The 12,351-nt window shown below is 33.7% G+C and overlaps 1 protein-coding gene across 15 annotated transcripts in view; it reads right to left on the minus strand.

The window, feature by feature from the left end:
- CEP128 (centrosomal protein 128) overlaps positions 1 to 12,351 on the minus strand; it is a 482,534-nt gene that overhangs the window by 358,753 nt on the left and 111,430 nt on the right. For all 15 annotated transcript variants that reach the window (NR_157142.2, XM_047431023.1, XM_011536493.3 and 12 more), the window contains 3 exons: positions 4,961 to 5,047; positions 2,483 to 2,557; positions 484 to 616 (listed from right to left, as the gene is read on the minus strand). Coding sequence is in view for 14 of the 15 variants with exons in the window: in XM_047431023.1 (XP_047286979.1) it covers positions 484 to 616; positions 2,483 to 2,557; positions 4,961 to 5,047 (295 nt within the window). In the remaining variant the exon portion in view is untranslated. The remainder of the gene's footprint in view (positions 1 to 483; positions 617 to 2,482; positions 2,558 to 4,960; positions 5,048 to 12,351) is intronic.

A 12,351-nucleotide genomic window follows, 5' to 3' on the forward strand; every position in this document is an offset into this window, starting at 1 on the left:
TACAGCTCATGACCACTCCTGAGTTGTGATTAATTTTTGTCACCAACTCCAGACGACAAAAAAGATAGGGTACTGACTTTAATTTCTCTTATACTGAAAATTGAGATAAGAGAATGTGAAAGACAGAGCAACATTTACAATTTAAGTACAAAGACTGGTACACACTTACACATATGCACGTATATTTGGGCATGGGAATCGGAGGCTGGAAAAACTACTGCTTTTGCAGGCTCTTTCTAAGAGAAAGCCCCATGGTTAAGTAGGTCTAATAACCCAAATGGGTTTGAACCAAGCAGGGAAGATATTAAAATGGGATGATGCTGAATTATTATCAACTTATCAGAAAATGTTTAATAGATCAAGAAATAGTATGACGTGAGCATCACAAAGGAATGCAATTCTGAGGATGAAAAGTATTTTCTAAGAAAAACCAAAAAGCCCCCACACACATTATCACATTATTAGGTACAAATCTACTTTTACCTCTCCTAAATCTCCAGTCCTCCCCTTGTTCATCCTGATAGTTTGACTGTTGCTTGGAAATCTGAGATACTTGATGCTGTAAACCCTTTCGATCACCTTCTGCTTTCGTAAGTTGTGTACGCAGTTCTTCTACCTAACACATGGTCAAAAATCAAACATCGGTTTTCACAATCAGAGAAAGACCTACTTCAAATGGGCTATTGTAAACACAAGTTGAATCCAGGTTAATCTCCTTCCAAGCATAGTGGAACGGTTTCCTGCTCCATTTCCTCATTCCTCTCATCTCTTCCACAAAGAATAAATGAATGGCTTTTCCTTCTCTGTGTCCACTGAGGCAAAGAATGGAATGTGACTAGATTTTTTTTTTCATCACTTATTTTGTCCTCAGTCTACTCCATTACTATTAACCCAAATCAACTTCAATTAAGTATTATACTTCTTATATTTTTCAATTTTCACCCATTTGCTTTCATGTGAACATGGTCTATTGGTTGTTAAATTCAAGATAAATGATCATGATTTAGCATATTTTGATACTAAAATCATGCTCAAAATAAGTATGTAATAGATGCTGTTGAATAAACTCTAAACTCCTTGAAGTCAGAAACTGATTTGTTTATCTTTCTATCCTTAGACTGCCAAATTACCTAGCACATAGCAGGTACTTCCAAATGAACATTAAACAAGTTAACAGTGGCAAAAAGATTCAGCTAAAATCACAATGACAATCTAAACAAAGAAATCTCTTGCTTCCATAACTGAAACTGGAGATTATAAGTTAGAGTTCCAAACAAATCAGAACGGAATTAAATACAAATATAAACTTCCAAAAAGGAAAGTTTGAACTCTGCCAAAATTAATTCCATGTGACCACTGGCTGCAGAACAAAGTCAGCGAATATTTTCAAAGGTTTTGTAAAACAGGTGCTATCTTGTATTTTCAGCACCAATTGTCAGAATGTAATACTCCTTCTGAACATCTATAATGCTTGACATCTTTGCTTACCCTTAGCATATTCTGAAGGTGTGTTATATAACATACACTTCAAAACAGAAGAAAGTATAATTGCAGTTTGTATTAAACACAGACAGGCAGTTAGAAACCCATATGCCCTTATCCAATGTATGTAAGATGGTTATTTAAAGTTACTGAACTTTAAACATCAGAAGCGCCAAACTCCCATTATGGGCTGATGGAATGCAAAACGTTATACTTTAAAATTAAGCCTTATCGGCCGGGCGTGGTGGCTCACACCTATAATCCCAGCACTTTGGGAGGCCGAGGTGGGGAATCACGAAGTCAGGAGATCGAGAACATCCTGGCCAACATGGTGAAACCCCATCTTTCCTAAAAAAACAAAACATTAGCCAGGTGTGGTGGCGCATGCCTGTAATCCCAGCTACTGGGAGGCTGAGGCAGGAGAATCGCTTGAACCCGGGAGGCTGAGGTTGTGGTGAGCCAAGATTGCGCCACTGCACTCCAGCCTGGCAACAGAGCGAGACTGCGTCTCAAAAAAAATAAAATAAAATTACCCTTATCTTTGGTTTAAAAGGGTCAAGTAGTATCTTGAAAACATGAATTAAAGACAATGACGTTATTCAAAGTAACCTAAACATGCAAAGGTCTGCTGCATGTAGTTTACTTCTTCCTTTACTTCCCAGTGCCTCCTGGAATAAAATTAAGCTCCTGGGAAAATTTTATCTTATACATTCAGTCTTACTTTTACACTGCTCATGCTAAGACAGATAAGTAGTAAGTTGTAGCAGCAATCAGCAAGATACACCATCACAGTGGGGACTCTGGCTGGTGTTTGTACTAGCTTTCTCTGAATTTCCCTGAAAGAATTTTATCCTTTGCTTAGGTGTGCTAATATACATTCCTTAGGAAAACATTTTTTCTAGACCTAGTTCTTTTTTTTCCTTTCACAAAGACATTTAAATAGAGCTACTCAATCCTGATTTAATGTAAAAGTATATTATAATAACTTGCATAGACTTACCTGATGCAAAAGTGTTTCTCGGCTGCCTTCTGATTGATTCAATAACCTTCGAGATAGCTCCAATTCCTGTTCAAGCTAGAGTTTCAACAAAGGATAAAGAAAAATGCCCAATGGAGCAGAAGATAACTAAATTATTATGGGCACAGTTTAAAAGGAGAAAAGTGGAAAAGTTTTCAGAAGACATTTACAGCTAATATAAAAGAATAAATATCTCACTATGAACATATATCAATACTTCCATTAAAATAATGTGAATCGTATAACATAAAGTGAACCAGACCAGGCCTCAGGAAGTCTGGGATCTAGTAAGTTTCATCTCAACTGTGAGCCAGTCCAAGTCTCTCCTCCTCTGGCCTCCATTCTATCATCTCTAAAATAAGTATTTTATATTAAACAGTCTCCAAGATCCCTTCCAGTTCTAAATCTCTTTAATCTAAATTCTAAGGCAATTTTTTTCTTTAAATTAGAATACACAGTGTCAAATTAACTAAAGTAGAATAAAAACTGCAGGGACCCAATAACTCAAAAGTTTCATCTAATTGGTGATTTCCTACATTCCTAATATTTCTAATATTTATAAGACATTCCTTAAATTTTTAGATGTCTAAATTCAGAATGAGACATTTAAAATTTCCTTAATGATACTGCCATTAGATAAATATCGATAAAAAATGTGACCAGTTCAGGAGATCAAGACCATCCTGGCTAACACGGTGAAACCCCATCTCTACTAAAAATACAAAAAATTAGTCAGGCATGGTGGCAGACACCCGTAATCCCAGCTACTCGGGAGGCTGAGGCAGAAGAATGGCGTGAACCTGGGAGGCAGAGCTTGCAGTGAGCCGAAATCGCGCCACTGCACTCCAGCCTGGGCAACAGAGCGAGACTCCGTCTCAAAAAAATGTGACCAGTTAAGTGACTAAATATTCTACAAACTCCTAACATGCCTAGATGATTTCAAGTTGAAATATGTAATAGGATAGAACACAAGTTTCTTAACAATTTAGAGCTTATATGTGCTAGACTTGTTTGCATTCTGTAACAGTAAGATAGTTTTATAAAAATCACACATTTATATTAAGATGCTTGTAAGTGCTTAGATTTGTAACACTTATCCTAAATTATCATTTCAGTTGAACAACTGCTATCTGTATATTAATCATTTAATAACTGTACATGTGGTAGGTGTGCCTATGAAAGAACATGAGGGAGCCTTGTGGTGATAGAACAGTTCTGTATCCTGACGGTGGTAGTGGTAACAAGAATCTATACAAGATAAAAATGGACTGAACTTCACACAAACACACACACACACACACAAATACAAATGAGTTATATATATAAAGCTGGTGAAATCTGTATAAACTAAGTAGATTGTACCAACACCAATTTCCTGGTTTTGATATTGAATGGCAATTATGCAAAATGTTACCATTGAGGCAAATTGGGTGCATGGGACCTCTCTGTGCATCTTGTTTTACAATATCCTATAAATCTATAATTATTTCAAAATATATCTTTAAATCCCAATATATAATTTTTTAAAAATTATACATGTGGCTCATAAAACAAATGTCATATTAAAAAAAAGTAAAGTATAAGTGGGGATCACAGAATCCACATAAAATACTGTCCTGTTCTTCAGTCTCTATGGAGAAATAGAGTGAAGAAATCATACTTGAAGCAAAATGACTTTGAACTCAACCAAAGCCCATATTGATCATAATCCCTGTGTAATTTCAACATCGCAACTCCCAAAGGGCAAATCTGATGGCCTAACATACTTCGCTTACCCTAAAAGCAGCAGGGAAGCTGCCTTTACATGAGTTGGTGAAATAAAATAAAGGAGGCAATGGTAGGTAGAAAAAAGCAATAATACGGAGTAAAGAACAGGGCAAATTTTCACTTCATCATTCATTACTTTGAGCTCATCCTTAAATCTACTTATTTGCAAATTAAGGAAGAGTTGTTTGGCCTCTGAATTCCTTTCTAACTCTAAAGTGCTAAGCTCTACGTGTTCATAGAAATGAACACACAGTTCATAAACATGAACATATGTCAAAGATCATTGATATTTAATATAAATAGAGAATGTTTTCAGAACTGGCTGCTTACTATATCTGTCCACTATAATGAAAATGAATATAACCAAAATATTCAGTCTCCAAATGACAGGTCTTTTCTAACCCTGCAACAAAGTCAAGTTCTTTAAATGTTTCCAACAAGAAAAAGTAAAGTTTAATTCACCTCTCAGAAAGGAGAATGGTCATAGATGACAAGGTAGCAAACAACTTGCTTATCTGTTTTCAAGAGCAAGTCCTAGCAAGTAGAAGAGCCGTTGAACCAATTGACTCCACATAGAAAGATAAAGAACTCACAATGTTCTAAAGGATCCTGGGGACACTTTTCAAGGCACTCAACAAATACCATTGGCCCCAAACCACTTTATTCTTTGAAAGATAACTTTTAAAATCTTACTTGATTCTTCTCAGTTTCAGTTTGTCTTAGCTTATTTTTTATTGCCCCCTCATGCTCATCTGCTTTAGCTTCTTGTTTCTTTAGTGCCTGGAATGAAAGAGGTGGAAAAAAATTATCCCAAAATATGTACAAAACTGAAAGTCACTACTAGAATTTATTATGTATTAGGGCTGAAGAAGACATGGATATGAGTTACACAAAATCTATAAATTACAGTCTGCTCATAAGAACACTTCAGTGGGGATAAAATATAAACAATTCCTGATCACCCTAATTAATATTCACTTTGTTTCCTTTTTTTCCCCATCTTTGGGAATTTTACTACATTATTTAGAGGGCCTAGATAGCTAACAGTTTTCTTGGAAACAAATATTCTTTTCTACAGATTCCCCTCTTTAATAAAATGAGGAAAAAGAAAGTTAAGAAAATACACATTTCAAAAGTTAACTATAAAAGTGTTTGCTTTGGTTTGTTTCTATGTTAGAACAAAATTAAACTTAAAGGGGAAAATTATACTTGGAACTGTCTTTCATAATATCTGAAATGCATTCCATTTGTTTAAAAAATATTTTTAACAATTTTAGTGTTTAGACTTAGCAAGGTGTATGTGTAAAGTCCATACAGCTTGTGAAAAGCCAACTGCCAGAAGCTTTTTCCAACAAGATCAACAGAAAAACAATTTTTAGGCAAACAGCAAAATATGTTAAAAACTGCTTTGATGCAAGTATACTCAATCAATTTCAGCTCCCTCTGCCATAATTCCTACTCTCAAATAGAAATTGAGTAAAGAGGCAGAGAGGCATCAACAAAATGAAAAATAATTTTGATTTGAGAATAACAATATTATCATGCTTTTATAGTGTTTAGTATGTCCAGGCATTCTTCTTCTTACATATAATAAATAAATATATTACATATATTCAAAATATACATTTACTCCTCATGATGATTCTATGAATTATTATTATTCCAAGCCCATTTTATTAAAGGGGAAATTGGAGCACAAGGAGTTGGATCATTTGCCTAACGTCACTCACCTACTTAGTGACAGAGACAGGATATAGATTCTGGCTGCCTGCCTCTTAACAACTGAGGGCACTGCTTCTTCATATTGAAATAATAATACCAAACTTATAGGGTAGTGGTGAAAACTAAATGGTTTGATATCTGTAGAGCACATAAAGCAATGTCTGGCTCCTAGCAAATGTGCAATAAAATGCAACTATTATTATTGGTAATAATAGCCTGGGTAACAGAGTGAGACCCTCAAAAAAATTAAATTAAAAAAATCCAAATTTCTATGTTTAAGTTGGTTGAATAAAAGAAACTCTAATTCTCTTGGATACTTAGAAATTTGCTAAAATAATATTGTGCTACTCCTTTCTTCCTTACTTTCCCCTTAGAACATCTGATAAGTTGTTTATAATATTGATTTTCCAAAATAATGTACTTTTCTATTATAGCTCTACTTGCTGCCTAAAACTTTATTTAAGTCTCCTTTTTTCAATTTCTCCTTTTACTGTAAGTATATGTAAGTCTTAAGAAATTTTTGTCAATGATAACTTAAATTCTATTGTTTTCAATAAGAAGCAATAGTGAGATACTAAGGAACAATCCAAAGCAAATTACTACATTTCCACTATATCATCTAGAAATGCCATTGAGTTTGAACACTAGCTCTGCTTTCTATATACCATGAGTCAGTCAACAAGTAAACACAAATGCAATATTCTAGCCTAGAATATTGAACCAGTTTTTCTACATTACCTAGTTTAAAATGAAAGACAAAGAAGGAAAATCTGACACTTAAGACCCATTAAATATATCAATGATGCACCTGTAAACACTGAAAACACAGATAATACTCAAAGAGAGATATTTTTAAATCAACCAAATCAAAATCACAAGCCATTTCTTTAAACCTTAATAATAAACGTGAACTAATTTACTACCTTTTTTTAAGGGTGTAAGCCTGCACTGGATTTCTTTTCCATTTGACTTAAATCAAGCAACTTAGACTTATATTAAAACGGACCCAGTAAAAGCAGTTATAAAAGAAGAAAAAAAAATCACATGCCAATGAATTTCAATAATTATGTTATTTTGTCCTTTAAAGCTTGTTTGTCTCCTAAGAGCAGTTTAGCTAAAAACTATCATGTGCCCTGCTCCAGGATTTAGATTGTCTTTTACACGTTGAAGATCACAGCAACAACAATGAGCCTTAATAGAGGGTCCCCGGGGCACATTTAAATCTTTAATAACAACAATTTTTCTTCTTTCCCTTAAGTGTGTCATATCGTGTATTGTACTACTGCATTTCCTTAGAGGTAGGTGATTCTAAACTCTCATAGTTATATATAATAAAAAAAAAGGTAGTTTTTCTTTTCAGAGAGTAGTAAAAAGGGGAAAAGAAAAATGTTTGTAGACCTCTCACTTAACCATAAAAATCTCTACAACATTGACAACAAGCATGTTTATCAAGAGGCTCTAACAGATAACACACTCCAAGATGTAGAACAAATAGGGAATTAAAGGCCCTTTGTCTGCTTTAAATGGACCAGCAAGCTTGGTTAAGAATGATGGCATGGGAATGAAATAAAAATCACATGTTAATTCCCACACAGTCCAATGAAATTTCCGGAGAAAAATTATAAACATAACCTATCCCAAGTTCTCCTAATCACTCAGCAGTGCTACAGTTGCACACCTTTGGTCACAAGGGCAAGAACATGTAGATCATTCACTGATAAACTAACAACACTATAGAAAAACAAGTCTGTGCTCATATTAAACAGTCAGCATCATTTACTTGAAGGTACAAACTATCAAATCAGATTTTTTTTCCAGTAACAATAAAGAATGAAAAAGTTATATCACTGAAAACTAGAAAATAGTTGTTCTTACTATATTTTGTAATTAAATTCTTCACATGGGTAGAAAATAAAAGCCAGTGAAAAAATATTTTAAGCTTAACAGAATATGATGTGATTCCAATCCAAAGTAGACTACACGAGCTATAAATTGAAGTTACAAGTTGTTTATATTTATGTATATTAAAAATTTGAGGTAGCTTTAGGGACATTTTCAATCAAGCAAAAACTCAATATTAAGTACTGAGTATGTATAAAACACTATCATGGAAACTTTAATTAAAATTTTTTTAAGATGGAAATCTGATGTCTATCTCTAAAATTCTTTTTGGACGCTTAAACACAGCTCCAAAGCCATCAAACATCAATAAAATAATACATATTTTTAAAAGGACTCTATGCATAATACAGCAGGATTTTATTGCTCAGAACATGTACTACTCATTTATATTAACACATACTTTTTTTGTCATGTTCTTTGAATTTCTAAATTATGCTTTTTCTCAAATCAAATTAGAGATTCCTCCCCCATGAGAACTAGCTAAAGTAATGGAAAATTTTAGCCTTTAAGTTCATCCAGTTGAGGATTATCTGTGCCAACAAAAACCAAAACAAAAAAAAATTAAGTTTCTTTTCAAGGCAAAAAAAAACAAAACAACGCATTCACATTCTAAATCCCTGAACCAATATCTAATTTAAAAATAGCTAGGTGGGTATTACTTAAATTGTTCAAAGAAATTTATTTTTCAGCCATGACCAAGGAAAGGAAATTCTATACCAACAACTACAACTTAAAAAATAAAAAATAAAACAAACCGCACACACCACACACTTTGGTAGGTGAAAAGTAGAAATGCTTGATAAAAGTCCAAAAGGAATTCAATATTGATACTATTATGATACCATACATACTTGAGGGATATCAAAGTAAGGGAGAAATTCAAAAAACTTGGTATGAATTGAAATGTGTGTATTTTCCCGATGGAAATGGTAAGCACATAAGTCAAGTCACAAAATACAACAATTCCTCTTTTTCAAAAGGTAATATCCAATATCACGTAGTTAAGTAGGATTGATCATATGTTAAATACTATTTCTAATAGTAACAGTAATCCTTAATAACATTCCTTAAAGATATCTATGGTATTTAAACATAAAGCTCAAGGTTTTATTTTAAGAATGGCCTAGATGTGTTTTTTGTTTTTTTCATTTTTCTCTTCTTATAAGATGTTTATTATTTCAAGAATCCCAAGAATCCACAAGGGCTCTTATAGGAATTATCTTGGTGGAAGAGATGGATGCTTTTTCTGACCTATTTTCTCCAATGAACAAACTTCTTGGTTCCACTATGCCCATACCTACGGAATCCACCACTGTTTAGGGCATCCAGTGCCAATGAACCCAAACAAGGTCATGAGTTTAATCACCAATTCCCTTTGCTCTGTTTCGTGGACACAATCTTTACCCTAAACCTAGCCAAGGGCCTCACAGAAGGCTAACTAGACCAGAGACTATGAATGAATCAGCAAAAATTCAATACCATGACTACAAAAATAACTCAAAGGTAAACCCCTGTTGACAAGTGTCAGGATTTCATTCTTCAAATGTTATAAATTTGCCAATCTGCAAAACAAAACCTTAATTACTTCATGAAAAAGCCAGTATGCTAAAAAGACATACAAGTCTTTTAACTTCTTTAATTCAAAAGCAACAATGGTAATGAGTATTATTCCCTAACATGCCATTGCTTTTACTGGAACAGATTATATTTTTATGCAATCTTTTACTTAATAAAATCTTGCAAGTAAAGTTAAATGTGAGCCCAACAAGTGCACTTTCCAGGATTTCCTTCAAAATCAAAAAACAAATGCTCCTAGTAGAAGGTCTGTTTTTATCCGAGTAGTTTCCTCTCAAAAAGAGATGCATAGTTTTATTAGAAATCCAGAGTAATATAATACTTCATTTGACTTTCTAAATGCAGGGCCACTGAGTTAGGATTGTTGACAAATAGAAGATCATAGATAATTATGGAAATTTAATTTAGAATTTCTCAAGTTGTATATCTTTGAACAGAAAGCTCTGTAAATATACAACATCTTCCAGTGTCCAGAGTTAAAGGATGTTATTTTATGCCTTTGGGTTTAGAAGGGTTTTTTTTGTTTTTCACTATTTTCTAATAAAAATAAAACAGTACTAAGCCAATGAATAAGTCTATCTGTAGCAAAACGGTTTTTGTTTGTACAATATTACTATGCACTCAGTAGTTGCCCAATAAATATTAATTGATAATGATGGAAATGGGCTTTATAAACAGATGGCCTAGCATAAATTCACTGAAAACATAGATAGAAACATTCCACTCTTCAAGAAAAGCGTAACATAGAAATTGAACAAATCCTGCACACAGAAAATCTCAGTCTATTGTCAGGCAGCTGTTCAGTCAACAGGGGCAGCAGACATTTTTCATCATCGTCATAGCATTAACGGCATTAAATGTCTATTTGCATATGGTGCTGCACAAAGTGACTCACACAGATTCACGCTAGCCTTATTTGTTATAATTTACAATGACAATATTGGCAAGAACATATAAGTACACATAGCAAAGTAAAAGTGATTAAACATAATTTGAGATCTAGTAATATTTGGCATGAACATAAAATATGTGTCAGGCTTAAACACAACTCACAGTAGCAATCAGAGTATTTATTTAACATATAAACTTCTACTATTCCCCAATAGCATTACAGATGCTTTACAAGACGCTTACACATATGCTGAAGGATTAAGTAGAATAAAGAGAGAAGTCAGAGTCCCTAAAAGAATAAGTAATGACTCTTCAAGAACCTAGAAAGTGAATATAATCTCAATAGTTACCAGTGGGGAAAGAAGAGATAAAAGAAGAACAAAAGTCATATGGGCACTAGCTCACGGTTAGTAGGATGGTAAGATCAAGGAAGCTATAAGCAAATTGATCAACCCCGGAAGGCATCCTGAAAAACACACACTTTACAAAAATACTTAAATAAGAAAGTGTAAGATAACATACATGGTAGAATTTTGGAGAAAGACAGTTAAAATGAGGAACTGAATGGAGCAGAAAGTATATTGCAAGCATTTAATAATTAATAGCCTTTAGTATTATTTTCTTAATAAAGTAAAAAGCTTCAGAAGACATGACATAAATGTTAATTATATAGAAATCAGATTACAAGAATTTCATGACAACTTACATTTATACATCATCTTGTAAAACTGCACCCTTCAATGAATCCAAAAGCTAACAGCTGGCATGCTACTACTTCTGTGATGTAGAATACATTTCTAAACTTTCAACTTTTGTTTTATCATTATTCAATACTAGGCCAATGAAATATATTATCAAACTGGAATATTCTTTAATCCAGCCAACTATTTCCCAATACCAGAAAGATAATATAGCTTGTAGAGACTGTCTACAATATCTAAGTAGCTAGCTTGCTCTGTAAATGGAAATTCAAGTATCAAGTACAAGGTTGAAAGAGACATCCTCCAAGGTCTCTTCAGAATTCTCTTCTATAGAAGCTTTGGGGGAAAAAATATCTTTCACTGAAAAAAACATCAAAAGTGTTTTAGTGTCATCTGTAAGAGGCTGAATAAGAGGGCAAGGAGGGAAATCAAGAAAAAGACTAAAGAAGGTGACTGAAAAGCATGATGTATCTCAGACCTGCATGTTTCAAGCTGTGCCAAATAGTGTTCAAACGCCTTTGAAAACTAAATCCTATAATAGTCAATCATTCTTCACCATCCATTTTCTTTTTATCAGCATGTCGACATTAATGGTTCTCTCACAGTCTTATAGAGAACAATGTTTATTTCATCTTTGCAAAGAAAAAATTTGTTATTTGTTACCACAAGTAACAAATATAAAGAAGAAAATAATTAGTATGGTGTATGATGATAGGACAAAGAGCAATGGTATGGATAAAAATGATAGTAGGTCAAAATTTATATAAGTGTTTCAGCCATTGATTGGTAAAGTGCTTGACATGTTAACAACAAGCAGTGGGGCAGAATCACATTCATGAAGAATTTCCTAAAATAATGTGAAAATACAGTCTTAGCAAAAATGCCACCTCTCTCACCCAAACTTTCCCCAAGGGGCCATAAAGAGGTAATTATTTCCCCTCTGAGATATTCTGTAGACTACACAAATGTGGAATAATGCCCTTACTGCATTGCAAAGATAGTTAACATCTCTATTTCCTCAACTAAACTAGGGGTCCCTAAAAGGTGAGATAGTATTTTAGGTATCTTTAAATCCCTAGTCCCCAGCGCAGTACCTGAATTATATTAGGTACATGATAGTATTGGCCAAATGAATATTTTACTGAATGAATAGTTACTATACAGTAAGCAATATTTATTCATTCATTCCTTCAAGAAACACTTACTGGGCCCCTACTCTATGCCAAGCACTGGTCCTGGTACTGGGGATGCAGCAACAAGCAAAGCAGGTAAGTCCCTGCCTCCATAAAGCCT

The sequence above is a fragment of the Homo sapiens genome, chromosome 14 (genome assembly GCF_000001405.40).
Source record: "Homo sapiens chromosome 14, GRCh38.p14 Primary Assembly".
Classification (NCBI taxonomy): domain Eukaryota; kingdom Metazoa; phylum Chordata; class Mammalia; order Primates; family Hominidae; genus Homo; species Homo sapiens.